General features: G+C 46.5%; 1 annotated feature.

The window, feature by feature from the left end:
* Window positions 3,739-4,033: a silencer, noted in NCBI's record as "tiled region #1830; K562 Repressive non-DNase unmatched - State 3:PromF". NCBI's record gives its function as "represses a minimal TATA promoter and a strong SV40 promoter by Sharpr-MPRA in K562 cells {active_cell/tissue: K562}" and the evidence as "EXISTENCE:reporter gene assay evidence [ECO:0000049][PMID:27701403]".

A 15,706-nucleotide genomic window follows, 5' to 3' on the forward strand; every position in this document is an offset into this window, starting at 1 on the left:
TAATCAGAGAGGCGTCCCTACAATGATTAAACACCAAGGGAAGGCTGCCTTCCCTAGTCCGTGATCGGCGCCGGAGTTTTGGGTCCACGGAGAAAACATGTCTCCTTTGTCTCTACCAGGAAATGAAAGGAATTGAAATTAAGAGAAGGGAGAGATTGAAGAGTGGAAAGGAGAAAGTGGTTGAGGGATAGTGAGAGAGGTTGGAGAAGAGAGTAAGAAGAGGCCGCTTACCCGATTTAAAATTGGTGAGATGTTCCTTGGGCTGGTCGGTCTGAGGACCTGAGATTGTAGGTGGATCTTTCTCATGGAGCAAAGAACAGGAGGACAGGGGATTGATCTCCCAAGGGAGGTCCCCCCTCCCCATCCGAGTCACAGCACCAAATTTCATGTGCGTCCATGTAAAGAGACCACCAAACAGGCTTTGTGTGAGCAATAAAGCTTCTAATCACCTGGGTGCAGGTGGGCTGAGTCCGAAAACAGAGTCAGCAAAGACAGATAGGAGTGGGGCCATTTTATAAGATTTGGGTAGGTAAAGGAAAATTACAGTCAAAGGGGGGTTATTCTCTGGCAGGCAGGAGTAGGGGTCACAAGGTGCTCAGTAGGGGAGATTTTGAGCCAGGAAGAGCCAGGAGAAGGAATTTCACAAGGCCAATGTCATCAGTTAAGGCAGGAACAGGCCATTTTCACTTCTTTTGTGGTGGAATGACATCAGTTAAGGCAGGAACTGGCCATCTGGATGTGTACGTGCAGGTCACAGGGGATATGATGGCTTATTTTGGGCTCAGAGGCCTGACCGCCACTTTTTCCCCTGTAAATATTGAAGCCCTCAAAGTCTTCTCTGGAAAAAGTATGGGCCACAGATTTTACTGTGGCTTGTGTCTTTTTTTCCCATGTACATCCTCAACCTTGGCAAAATAAACCTCTAAATTGATTGAACATTGCCTCAGTCATTTTCTTTGTGTGTTTTTTTTTTTTTTTTTTTTTTTTTTTGATGGAGTTTTGCTCTTGTTCCCCAGGCTGGAGTGCAATGGTGCTATCGAAGCTCACAACCTCTGCCTCCCTGGTTCAAGTGATTCTCCTGCCTCAGCCTCCCGAGTAGCTGGGATTACAGGCATGCACCACCACGTCCGACTAATTTTGTATTTTTAGTAGAGATGGAGTTTCTCCATGTTTGTCAGGTTGGTCTTGAACTCTCAACCTCAGGTGATCCGCCTGCCTTGGCCTCCCAACGTGCTGGGATTGTAGGCATGAGCCACTGCGCCCAGACCATTTTCTTTGGTAAAAGTAACTTAAAATAATTGCTAAGGAAATTAGGGTCAGGAGATGTTTTGTTTCCTATAGAAACTAAAGATAACATCTTACCATATGTCCCTGAGTTGTTTTTTCAGAAACCCTGACCAAACAGAAACCCACCAAGCAGATCCCACCAGCTTGTAAGCCTCACATAAGGGGAAACTGAGGACTGAACTCTGATCACAGTTCCTTGTTCTACATTTCTTCCTGAGGGGCCTGGAGGAGGTCATTCCCACATGCCAGGGCTAACATTTCTTTTTTTTTTTTTTTTGAGACAGAGTCTTGCTCTGTAGCCCAGGCTGGAGTACAGTGGCACAATCTCAGCTCACTGCAAGCTTGACCTTCTAGGCTCAAGTGATCCTCCTACCTCAGGCTCCCAAGTAGCTGGGACCACAGGCACAAGCCACCATACCCTACTAATTAAAAAAAAATTTTTTTTGTAGAGATTGGTGTTCACTGTGAGACCCCCATGTATAGCCATCATATATTGGTTTATGGCTTTGCCTGTAATCTGTGCCTCTCTGCCTTTGAAAACCCTTACCTGGCCAGGCGCGGTGGTCACACCTGTAATCCCAGCACTTTGGGAGGCCGAGGCTGGCGGATCACGAGATCAGGAGATGAAGACCATCCTGACTAACATGGTGAAACCCAGTCTCTACTAAAAGTACAAAAAATTAGCTGGGCGTGGTGGCAGGCGCCTGCAGTCCCAGCTACTTGGGAGGCTGAGGCAGGAGAATGGCATGAACCTGGGACGCAGAGGATGCAGTGAGTCAAGATCACGCCACTGCACTCCAGCCTGGGCAGCAGAGCGAGTCTGTGTCTCAAAAAAAAAAAAAAAAGAAGAAGAAAAAAGAAAACCCTTACCTAGGCCATGCACGATGGTTTAGGCCTGTAATTCCAGCAGTTTGGGAGGCCATGGCGGGCGGATCACCTGAGGTCAGGAGTTTGAGACCAGCCTGACCAACATGGAGAAACCCAGTCTCTACTAAACATACAAAATTAGCCTGGTGTGGTGGCACATGCCTATAATCCCAGCTACTCAGGAGGCTGAGGCAGGAGAATCACTTGAACCCGGGAGGCGGAGGTGGCAGGGAGCTGAGATCATGCCACTGCACTCCAGCCTGGGCAACAAGAGCAAGACTCCATCTCAAATACAAACAAACAAAAACCCTTACCTGTAAGCCATCCAGGAGTTTGGGTCTTCAGCATGAGCTGCTGGATTCTCCTTGCTTGGTGCCCTGCAACAAATGCCTCACTTTCTCTCACTGTTATCCCAGTGCCACAGTTTGGCTCTGCTACTGTGGGTGAGTGGACCACAGTTTGGTTCAAGAACATGATCAACTGCCTCGATCATAGATCCATGTGGTTCAAAACACTTACCACTGAGGCGCTGTGCTTGTTGTGATCATTGCACTCACCTTGTTTACTCTGGGTAAAATGAGGCTGAGACCTACTGGGCTGCATTCCTGGGAAGTTCGGGTGTGGTGGTGCACACCTGTAGTACCCGCTACTCGGGAGGCTGAGGCAAGAGAATCACTTGAACACGGGAGGCAGAGGTTACAGTGATCCGAGATCGCACCACTGCACTCCAGCCTAGGCAACAGAGCAAGATTCTGTCTCAAAGTAAAAACAGCAACAAAGAAACAAACAAAAAACACATTTGCAAGATGTGTATAAGAAAAAAGAAGGGCTGGGTATGGTTGCTTCTGCCGGTAATCCTTCTTTACTGCAACCTGTTTTATCAGCAAGGTCTTTGTGACCTGCATCTTGTGCCGACCTCCTATCCCATCCTGTGATTTAGAATGCCTGAACTTCCTGGGAATGCAGCCCAGTAGGTTTCAGCCTCATTTTACCCAGACCCATTCAAGATGGGGTCATTCTGGTTCAAATGCCTCTGACACCTGTACTTCCTGGAGGGCTAAAAAAAAAAAAAAATGAAAAACCCTTCCCTGAGGCATTAAGAAGCCACTGGTGTGAAGCTTCTTACAAGAAGCACCACCATCCTACAAGAGATCGGTGATAGCCAGGATAGCAGTTGGAGATGACAAGAGGGATGTTGGAACGGGGCTGTCTAATTTCAGCAGGAATCATGGAGATGCTGAGTGGGAAAGGCCAGGAGCTTCGCCATCAGAAACAGGTTTCAGTAAAGAAGCTGGCTAAAACCCACCAAAACCAAGAAGGTGATGAACATGACCTCTGGTCGTCCTCACTGTAATTATACGCTAATTATAATGCATTAACATTCTAAAAGACACCCTCACCAGCACCTTGACAGTTTACAAACGTCATGGCAACATCAGGAAGTTACCTTGTATGATCTAAAAGGGGAAAAGTCCTCAGTTTTGGGAATTGCCCACCCCTTTCCCAGAAAACTCATGTATAATGTACTCCTTGTTTAGCATATAATCAAGAAGTAACAATAAGTATAAACAGCTGAGCACCCCATGCCGCTGCTCTGCTGCTCTGCCTATGGCGTAGCCATTCATTTATTCCTTTCTTTTTTTTTTTTTTTTTTTTTTGAGACGGAGTCTCACTCTGTCGCCCAGGCTAGAGTGCTGTGGCACGATCTCGGCTCACTGCAAGCTCCGCCTCCCGAGTTCATGCCATTCTCCTGCTCAGTCTCGAGTAGCTGGGACTACAGGCGCCTGCCACCGTGCCCAGCTAAGTTTTTGTATTTTTAGTAGAGACAGGGTTTCACCGTGGTCTCGATCTCCTGACCTCGTGATCCGCCCGCCTGGGTCTCGGAAAGTGTTGGGATTACAGGCGTGAGCCACCGCGCCCAGCCCTCCTTTACTTTCTTAATAAATTTGCTTTCACTTTATGGATTTGCCTTGAATTCTTTCTTGTGCAAAATCCAAGGACCTTCTCTTGGGGTCTGGATTGGGACCCCTTTCCGGTAACAGCAGGTTGAGTATAATGAAGCCATTCCACCAAACCCATTTTCTGAAGTCTTAGGAATCCTTTCCTGACAACCTTATACCAGGGAAGATCTGGCATTACTTTTGAGGCAGGCTTTTGCTGTGTCACCTAGGCTGGAGTACAGTGGTGCAATCATGGCTCACTGCAGTCTTGACTTCCAGGCTCAGGTAACTGTCTCACCTCACCCTCCTGAGTAGCTAGGACTACAGGCATGCACCACCATGCCCAGCTAATTCTTTCTTTTTTTTTTTTTTTTTGAGGAAAAAAAAAAAAAAGTCTTGCTCTGTTGCCAGGCTGGAGTGCAGTGGCACAATCGCAGCTCACTGAAACCTCTGCCTCCCAGGTTCAAGTGATTCTCCTGCCTCAGCCTCCTGAGTAGCTGGGACTACAGGCGCCTGCCACCATGTCCAGCTAATTTTTTGTATTTTTAGTAGAGATGGGGTTTCACCATGTTGGGCAGTATGGTCTCAATCTCTTGACCTCATGATCCACCCACCTCGGCCTCCCAAAGTGCTGGGATTACAGGCGTGAGCCACTGCGCCTGGCCTTTTATTTTGAGATGAAGTCTCGCTCTGTTGCCCAGGCTGGAGTGCAGTGGCACGATTTCGGCTCAATGCAACCTCTGCCTCCTGGGTTCAAGCAATTCTCTTCCCTCAGCCTCCTGAGTAGCCCAGGCATACACCACCATGCCTGGCTAATTTTTGTATTTTTAGCAGAGACGGGGTTTCACCATGTTGGTCAGGCTAGTCTTGAACTCCTGACCTACTGATCCCACCCCACCCTTGGCCTCCCAAAGTGCTGGGATTACAGGCATGAGCCACTGCACCCGACCGGTTTTTTTTGTTTTTTTTTTTTGTATGGTTTATACACCAAAGAGGTAGAAGGTTTTGCTAATCTGTATTAGCAAAGCCTGGAGTGAAACATGTGGGAGTGAATTCTCAGTGTGTTGGATGAAAGGTGATGGAATATAAGACTTGATGGGGCCAAATTCAATAACATCGGTGCAGTCACCTGCGATTCAGAATTTAATGTTTTTTTTTTTATTTGTTTTTGTTGTTGTTGAGACAAAGTTTCACTATTGTCGTCCAGGTTGGAGTGCAATGGTGCCATCTCGGCTCACTGCAACTCTGCCTCCTGGGTTCAAGTGATTCTCCTGCCTCAGCCTTCCGAGTAGCTGGGATTACAGGCGCCCGCCACCACACCTGGCTAATTTTTGTATTTTTAGTAGAGACAGGGTTTTGCTGTGTTGGCCAGACTGGTCTTGAACTACTGACCTCAGGTGATCCACCTGCCTCAGCCTCCCAAAGGGCTGGGATTACAGGTGTGAGCCACCACGCCTGGCCAGAATTTAATGTTTTGACTGAAGCACCTGAGGCTGGTCTCTTTTTATTTTATTTTATTTATTTATTTTTTTAAGATGGAGTCTCACTCTTTCGCCCTTGCTGGAGTGCAGTGGTTCAGTCTTGCCTTACTCCAAACCTCCGCCTACCTAGGGTTCAAGTGATTCTCCTGCCTCAGCCTCCCGAGTAGCTGGGATTACAGGCATGCACCACCATGCCTGGCTAATTTTTGTATTTTTAGTAGAGATGGTTGCTCAGGCTGGTCTCAAACTCCTGGCCTCAGGTGATCTGTCCGCCTCGGCCTCCCAAAGTAATGGGATCACAGGCATGAGCCACTGTGCCCAGCTGGATCTGGCATTTTTACCTTATCAGTTGTAGGCCACTGGTTCTCAAACTTTGGTGTGCATAACATCAACTGAAAATACAAAATTAGCCAGGTGTGGTGGTGCATGCCTGTAATCGCAGCTACTCTGGAGGCTGAGGTAGGAGAATCGCTTGAACCTGGGAGGCAGAGGTTGCAGTGAGCCGAGATCGCGCCATCGCACTCCGGCCTGGGTGACAGAGTGAGACTCCATCTAAAAATAAATAAATAAATAAATATAAATAAAATTTACCTTCACTTATTCCTGCTTCAGCACTCATCCTTTTTTTTTTTTTTTTTTTTTTTTTGAGACTGAGTCTCACTCTGTCGCCCAGGCTGGAGTACAGTGGCACAGTCTTGGCTCACTGCAGACTCTGCCTCCTGGGTTCAAGTGATTCTCCTGCCTCAGCCTCCCAAGTAGCTGAGAGTACAGGTGCATGCCACCACACCCAGCTAATTTTTGTATTTTTAGTAGAGACGGAGTTTTACCATGTTGGCCAGGCTGCTCTTGAACTCCTGACCTAGTGATCCCCCCACCTTGGCCTCTCAAAGTGCTGGGATTACAAGCATGAGACACTGCACCCAGCCCCTTTCTTTATATAGATACAAATTTTTGACCTATATTATTTTCCTTCTCTCTAAAGAACTTTTTAAAGCACTTCTTTCAAGGCAGGTCTATTGGCAACAAATTCCCTCAATTTCTCTTTGTTTGAAAAAGTCTACTTTTGAAGGATAATTGCACAAGGTACAGAATTCTAGTTTGGTGGTTTTTCTCTCTGAACACATTGAATATTTCACTTAGCTCTCTTCTTGCTTGATTGGTGATATGGTTTGGCTCTGTGTCCCCACCTAAATCTCAACTTGAATTGTAATAATCCCCATGTGTCAGGGGTGAGACCAGGAGGAGATAATGGAATCATGGGCGGGTTTCCCTCATATCTCGTGATATTGAGTGAGTTCTCAAGAGGTCTGATGGTTTTATAAGGGGCTTTCTCCTTCGCTCGGCACTTATTCTCTCTCCTGCTGCCCTGTAAAGAGGTGTCTTCTGCCATGATTGTGTTTCCTAAGGCCTCTCCAGCCATGTGGAACTGTGAGTCACTTAAACCTCTTTTCTTTATAAATTACCCAGTCTCAGGTAATTCATAGTAGCATGAGAACAGACTAATACAATAAATTGGTACTGGGAGTGGGTGCTGCTATAAAGATACCCAAAAATGTGGAAGCAACTTTGGAACTGGGTGCCAGGCAGAGGTTGGAACAGTTTGGAGGGCTCAGAAGAAGGCAGGAAGATGTGGGAAAGTTTGGAACTTCCTAGAGACTTGTTGAATGGCTTTGACCAAAATGCTAATAGTGATATGGACAATGAAGTCCAGGCTGAGGTGGTCTCAGGTGGAGATGAGGAACTTGTTGGGAAGTAGAATAAAGGTGACTCTTACTTTGCTTTAGCAAAGAGACTGATGGCATTTTGTCCCTGTCCTAGACATCTGTGGAACTTTGAACTTGAGAGAGATGATTTAGGGTATCTGGTGGAAGAAATTTCTAAGCAGCAAAGTGTTGAAGAGGTGACATGGGTGCTCTTAAGAGCATTCAGTTAGGCTGGGCACAGTGGCTCACGCCTGTAATCCCAACGCTCTGGGAGGCCAAGGCGGGCAGATCATGAGGTCAGGAGATTGAGACCATCCTGGTCAACATGGTGAAACTCCATCTCTACTAAAAATGTAAAAATTAGGTGGGCATGGTGGTGCACACCTGTAATCCCAGCTACTCGGGAGGCTGAGGCAGGAGAATTGCTTGAACCCGGGTAGGTGGAGGTTTCAGTGAGCCAAGATAGCACCACTGCACACCAGCCTGGTGACAGAGCAAGACTCCATCTAAAAAAAAAAAAGCATTCAGTTGAGGCGGTTTGCAGTGGCTCACGCCTGTAATCCCAGCACTTTGGGAGGCTGAGGTGGGCAGATCACCTGAGGTCAGGAGTTCGAGACCAGCCTGGCCAACATGGTGAAACCTCATCTCTACTAAAAATACAGAGAAATTAGCCAGGTGTGGTGGTGCATGCCTGTAGTCCCAGCTACTTGGGAGGCTAAGGCAAGAGAATCACTTGAACCCGGGAGGTGGAGGTTGCAGTGAGTCGAGATCTTACCACTGTACTCTGGTCTGAGTGACAGAGTGAGAACCCTGTCTCAAACAAAACAAAACAAAACTCATAAAGGCTGGGCAAGGTGGCTCACATCTGTAGCCCCAGCACTTTGGTAGGCCGAGGCAGGTGGACCACCTGCAATCAGGAGTTCGAGACCAGCCTGGCCAACACATAGTGAAACCCCATCTCTACTAAAAAAATACAAAAATTAGCTGGGCGTGGTGGCACACATCTGTAGTCCCAGCTACTTAGGAAGCTGAGGCAGGAGAATCCCTTGAACCCAGGAGGTAGAGGTTGCAGTGAGCCAAGATTGCACCACTGCACTCCAGCCTGGGTGACAGAGCCAGACTCCATCTCTCAAAACAAAAAAAAGGAACATCCAGTTGGGGTGGGAACTGGGGAGAAAGACTTCTGCCTTCTACTTCCTGCCAAGATGAAATAACTAATGGAAGACAGCCCGGAGAAGTCATGGTCCAATAAGGGTGCTAGGAAGCCAACGGAAAAATCATGAACAGGCTCTCGTGAAACAGTAGCTTGGGGGCACAAGTTAATGCTTTCAGGGAAATCTGCAAGTGGGACACATCCAGCTGCTGTGTTGGGATCACCCAGGGTGCTGGGGCAGAAGACCATGAGAGCTTGTCTCTTTATATCTACAGTCTCTGTGAATTCACAGCCAAATATCTGGCAGTAGGTCTAGCGTTGCTGTTGGTCAGCAGAGCTGGCAAAAAGGAGCAACAGCTAAACACAAAGCAAGTATGAGGACATGGAGCAGGGAAAAGAGCAAGGAGAAACCAGAACCTTCTGCCACATCTACGTCTGTCGCTCATCACCACTAACGATGATGATCTTCAGATTGTAATGCCTGCTGCTTCACTTCCTAGGGGAGAAAAAATGTTCTTTTTCCTTTACTCATCTTAGGTTCATTGGCTAGAGCGTAGCAAATTAGACTGACAAAAAACAGATTAACAAGAGAAAAACAATTTGTCAGTGCATGCAGTGCACATCGCAAGGCAGAAAATTCAGTGGTGAACAACCCAAAGGGATGGTTAGCACTTGGACTTATATCACATCTTAGCAAAGAACAATACATTTATAGATAAGAGTTAAGACAAAGAAAAAGGGCTTTAGGCTTGAACGGGCAGAAAACTATGGGAAGATAAATGTATGGGGGAAACTAATGGAAGATAAGGATTATTTATGCAGGTCCAGCTCAACTGACTTTCCCTCTTCTTCATGGTCATGAAACTTCCCTAGGCGAGGGAATTTTCCAGAAGTTTCCACTTAAAGCTGAAGAGGGAAGCTCCAGGGGAAGGCTTTTTTTCTGCCCCTGTTGATTCCCATTTGCCTCCAGCTTAAGATAATCCTTTTTTTTTTTTTTTTTTTTTTTTTTGAGACAGAGTCTCGCTGTGTCACCCAGGCTGGAGTGCAGTGGCATGATCTCAGCTCACTGCAACCTCCACCTCCCAGGTTCAAGCGATTCTCCTGCCTCAGCCTCCCAAATAGCTGGGACTGCAGGTGCATGCCACTACACCTGCCTAATTTTTATATTTTTAGTAGTGATGGGGTTTTGCCATGTTGGCCAGGCTGGTCTCGAACTCCTGACTTCAAGTGATGCACCCGCCTTGGCCTCCCAAAATGCTGGGATTTCAGGTGTGAGCCACTGTGCCTGGCCAAGGTTAAACTTTGCTAACACATCTTATCTCAGTAGGAGAATGGGAGGGGATGAAAAGGAAAGAATTGGTTCATATATACTTACAAGATTTATGATAAAATAAGGAAGAAATACTCATAACTATAATCTCATTTCTGCAACTGGTCATGTGGTCATAAATGGTATTTATAACTGCCTTCTTCCACCACCCATTCTGCATTTCCTTTGCTTTCTGCAAATATCTTGGCTAGTCCTGATTCCTTGCCTGGTGATAAGATCTGAAACTTCATTCCTGAAGGGTCTGTTAGTGGTACAGCCTACCTAGTTGTTGTCATTTTCCATCAACATTTATCACATTTATGGTAGCCCTGAGGGATCTACTGCATTCCAGATATATTCTTCCTTATTTTCTTTGTGTGGTCATGACCCAATTTCACCTTTCACATCAGCATCAATCATCCCAACAGTGCTTTGCTTGTTGGTTCATTAGCATAAAAAGCCCAAAATAGGCACGTGGCTGTCTCAATTTTCAATTTAATGGAACCATTGTTGAGTTCCCTGACAGAGGTATTCCTCCTCTAGGAGCTCAGACCTCTGGACCAGGAGAGCCCAAAGTTGCCCTATAACTTGATAGGCCAAGCAACACCCAGTTCATGATGGGCAGCTCCAGTTATATGGTAACCTGGTAACTCTCAGTCAAGAGTCCAGGCTCTAATAAGGCCTGATACCCAGCCAGAAGTTGCTTCTCAAAAGCAGAATGAAGCTGGGTGCAGTGGCCCATGCCTGTAATCCCAGCACTTTGGGAGGCCGAGACGGGAGGATCACTTGAGCCCAGGAGTTCGAGACCAACCTGAGCAACATAGCAAGCCCCCATCACTACGTTAAAGAATAATTATATATTTAAAAAGGGGGAAAAAAAGGAGAATGTTACCTGTAGACGGCGGCATAGCTTTTCTTTACATTCCTAAAGGGCTGTGCTACCACACATCTGAAAAAGCCTTTCAAAGCCTCCATATAAGCATTCCTGTCAGCCATAGACACTTCTGCCAGACCATAAGACACAAGTGGCAGAGCTACTTGTAATGCAGCCTGGGCCTGTTTCAGAGCCTTCTCTTGTTCTGGGCCACCCTAAAAAATGGCAACAATTCAGATTTCTCAGCAGATGGGTTGAAGTACCACACCCAAATATATATTACCTCCAGAATCCAAAGGGGCCTACTAAGCATTGTGCCTCTTTCTGAGTGGCAGGAGGGGCCAATGCAGTAATTTATCCTTTACCTAGAAAGGGATTATTGCAACATGGCCCAGCCCACTGGATCCCCAGGAATTTCACTGAGGAGGCAGGTTCATGATTTTTTGTTGGATTTATTTTCTATCCTCTGGCAGGCTTGAGTTTTACTAAAGTATCCAGGGCAGATGCTACATCCTGCTCACCACGTCCATGATACCGTGGATCAGCATGATACCCCATAGAATTTAGAGGTGATGAAGGTCTCTGCACACTACGTAGAGGGATAATAGAGCCCTGACATACAACAACGAAGTTGTATTGCTGGTCCTGCTAGCTGAAAGAAAATGGCTTTTGGTAGTGTTTACTATCAGGTCTGGGGGAAAAAAAAAAAAAAAAAAAAAGCACGTTCACTACATCAATAGCTACATACCAGGTGGCAGGGGATGTTGATTTGCTTCCGTAAAAAGACAAACAGAACACAGTATCTGGGACAGCAGATTGCACTGAAGTCACCACATGATTAAGTTTACAATAATCCACTGTCGTTCTTGATGATCCTTTATCTTCTGAACAAACAAAATATGTGCGTTGAGTGGAGTAATGGCAGGAACCACCATCCGGCACTTTCTAAGTCTTTGTTGATGGTACTAACCGCTTCAGTCTTTTCAGGAATGCAGTGTTGTTTTTGGTTTACTATTTTGAAAGAGGCAGTTCTGCTGTCTTCCATTTAACCTTTTCTGTCATAATATTCCTTATTTCATGGGTCAGGGAACTAAATTGGGGATTCTGTCAGTTGCTGAGGCTGTCCATTCCCACTATGCTGTGTGGACCTGGGTTCAGGGACCCACTAGGCCAACTGTGAGATGGGCCCAAGCCAAAACTCCATGGATCACTTGACCAGCATAGTCTTTACTCTGAGCCGTATTATTCTGGGTCTACAGTAGTCCTCAAACGTCTATTTCCTCTTCCCTTGTCTCCCTGGTAAACAGTCACAAGCCCTTTTGGGATAAGGCTAGAAGGCCGGGCCTGGTGGCTCACGCCTGTAATCCCAGCACTTTGGGAGGCCGAGGCGGGCGGATCACGAGGTCTGGAATTCGAGACCATCCTGGCCAACATGGTGAAACCCCGTCTCTACTAAAAGTACAAAAAATGAGCCGGGTGTGGTGGCACGTGCCTGTGGTCCCAGCTACTTGGGAGGCTGAGGCAGGAGAATCGCTTGAACCCAGGAGGCAGAGGTTGCAGTCAGCCCAGATCGCGCCACTGCACTCCAGCCTGGCAACAGAGCGAGACTCCGTCTAAAAAAAAAAAAGGCTAGAAGGGGGACCCAGATTCAGATTCCCTTTTATTCAAGGAACTGGCCTTGTTGAGGGGAGTTCAACAGACTAGCTCAAGTCAGAATTCTCTTCAACAGATCTAGAGCTTTTCTGTTTATACAAATCAAGTAAAACTTGATTTTCAAAGGCTGCCATCTATTTCAGTCCTAGGGACAGTGGAATCAATTAGCTAACACCAAAAATATCTACAGATAAGGGCCCTTCACCAAAACTCCCAAGGAGGCCTTCTCTTTCTCTTTGAATGTTAATTGCATGTTCCTTCTTTTTTTTTTTTTTTAAGACAGTCTTGCTCTTGTCACCCAGACTAGAGTGCAATGGTGCGATTTCAGCTCACTGCAACCTCCACCTCCTGGGTTCAAGTGATTCTCCTGCCTCAGCCTCCAGAGTAGCGAGGGATTACAGGCGCCCACCACCATGCCCAGCTAATTTTTGTATTTTTAGTAGAGATGGGGGTTTCACCATGTTGGCCAGGCTGGTCTCGAACTCCTGACCTCAGGTGATCCACCTGCCTCAGCCTCCCAAAATGTTGGGATTACAGGTGTGAGCCACCGCACCCAGCTGGCATGTCCCTAATTTTTATTTCTCTTATTCTTCTGCATGCACTCGAGGGCCTATTGTCACTATAATTGTCACAGCTCCCTTTCCCCATGCCTTGCCCTTTACCTCACTCCATCCCATGGTACCACCAGTCAAAATTTGAATTGTGACACCACTGTATGCCATGGATCACTCATGTCCCATTCCCGGCCTCCCCTCCACCACCTCCCATGAGGAGGTTATTGAGCTCTTCAAGTATGACTAACCCAATCCCAGATCTAATTTTAAGAGTCTGTTTCCCAGGGCCACTTCTGGTACCAATTACTCTATCAGTCTGGATCCCAAAAAGAAACAGATGGCGCACTTGTAATAGCATAATTTGAAGAGGACTTATGTAGCAGAACTTAACAAAGGGAGGCAACAGTTACCAGAAAATGAGGCAAGAGTCATGTAGATTCAGACTCAGTAAGAGACCTCACGCTGAAGGACGAAGCAGCTAGAGACAATCTTGCAGGGAGGGAATTAGAGGCAGACACACTCTAATTAGGGAATTAGAGGACCTTACTGTCTTCCTTCCCACTGATTTCCTGGGGGGAATCCCTGGTGAGCAAACCCAAATGGAAGCCAGGGACCAAAGGGAATGTTAGTGTGGTTCATACGGGCCAATCTGTGGAGACAGTGAGCTTAGAGAACAGCCCTGAAGATGTAGGCACCTGCTACACTCTCTATTCTGTAATTAGATTAATGAGATAATGGAAAGACAACCGGGGAATCTAAGAATCAATACTTTCCCACAGAGTCTACAAGGAAGTCTGACCTTAGACCAGACTGTACAGTACTGTTAAGTGATTTTCATATCCGTTCTCTTTGCTCCTCTGATTGAAGACATGTCCCCCCACATTCCTTTATAGACAGGGTAGTGCAGTGAAAGAACTGAATTTGGAGACAGGTTATCTGACTTGACTTTTTTTGTTGAGACAGTCTCACTCTGCCCAGGCTGGAGTGCAGTGGCACGGTCTCGGCTCAATACAACCTCGACTCCTGGGTTCAAGTGATTCTCCTGCCTCAGCCTCCTGAACAGCTGAATTTACAGGGTGCATGCCACCATGCCCGGCTTTTTTTTTTTTTTTTTTTCTCGAGACGGAGTCTCGCTCTGTCGTCCAGGCTGGAATGCACTGGCACGATCTCGGCTCACTGCAACCTCCGCCTCCCGGGTTCAAACAATTCTCTGCCTCAGCCTCCCAAGTAGCTGGGATTACAGGTGCCCACCACCATGCCTGGCTTATTTTTTTGGACTTTTTTTTTTTTTTTTAGAGACGGAGTCTCGTTCTGTTGCCCAGGCTGGAGTGCAGTGGCACGATCTTGGCTCACCACAACCTCCGCCTCCCAGGTTCAAGTGATTCTCCTGCCTCAGCCTCCCGAGTAGCTGGGATTACAGGCATGCACCACCATGCCCGGCTAATTTTTGTATTTTTAGTAGAGACGGGGTTTCACTATGTTGCCCTGGCTGGTCTCGAACTCCTGACCTCGTGATCTGCCTGCCTTGGCCTTCCAAAGTGCTGGGATTACAGGCATGAGCCACTGCATCTGGCCAATTTTTGCATTTTTGTAGAGACAGGGTGTCACCACGTTGGCCAGGCTGGTCTCAAACTCCTGACCTCAAGTAATACCCCCACCTCGGCTTCCCAAAATGTTGGGATTACAGGTGTGAGCCACTGTGACTGGCCAATGTACTTTTCCAATGTACAATCTGTAAATCTTTGAAGTCTCCTTAACATTTTTTTTTGAGACACACACACACACACACACACACACACACACACACACACACACAGGATCTATGTTGCCCAAACTGGATTTGAACTGCAGGTACTCAAGCGATCCCCCAGACTTAACCTTCTGAGTAGCTGGGACTACGTGTGCCACTGGGCCCAGCTTTCTCCTTAACTTCTGAATTTACTTGAACTAAATTCTAATTCCTATTATTCTAAGTTACTACTTATTCTATATCCTCCACAGCTCACTTAATTGATAAGAAGATTTTAACAGCTGCTTATCAATCTTCTCCATAACATCGCATGTTCAGCTTTCTGCCAAACCCAAACAGGTCACGGATTCTCTCGTTTTCTTCCAGAAATTATAGTTTCATGTTCTACTTTTAGGTCTATGATCCATTTCTTTTGTTTTTTGAGATAGGGTCTTGCTCTGTCACCCAGGCTGGAGTGCAGTGGCGCAATCTTGGCTCATTGCAACCGCCCTCTCCCGGGTTCAAGCAATTCTTGTGCCTTAGCCTCCTAAGTAGCTGGGACTACAGGCATGCACCACCACGCCCAGCTAATTTTTATATATTCAGTAGAGGTGGTGTTTTGTGATGTTGGCCAGGTTGGTCTTGAACTCTTGGCCTCAAGTTATCTGCCTGCCTTAGCCTCCCAAAGTATTGGGATTACAGGCCTGAGCCACTGTGCCTGGCCGTATGATCCATTTTGAGTTTTTATAGAAGGCACAAGGAATGGGTGAAAGATTTTTTGCAACATATTCAATATCACTTATTGAAGACTCTATTTTCTTCATTGAATGGCCTTTGCACTGTCAAAAATCAACTATATTTGTGTGGGTCTATTTTTCGGCTATTCTGTTCCATCAATACATGTCTATCCTTTTGCTAATACGTTACTGCATCTTTATATTGAGTCCAAATCAGGTAGTGACTCCTCCAATTTCTTCCTATTACAGAATTGTTACAGCATAATTTGCCTTCCCATATAAATTTTACTACTTTAGAGAGGTCTATGTTGCCCAGGCTGGCCTGGAACCCCTGGGCTCCACTGATGTTCCCATTTTATCCTCCTGAATAGCTGGGACTATAGGTGAATGCCAACACACCCAGCATTCCACGTTATTTT

Source organism: Homo sapiens, chromosome 11, assembly GCF_000001405.40.
Source record: "Homo sapiens chromosome 11, GRCh38.p14 Primary Assembly".
NCBI classification, from domain to species: domain Eukaryota; kingdom Metazoa; phylum Chordata; class Mammalia; order Primates; family Hominidae; genus Homo; species Homo sapiens.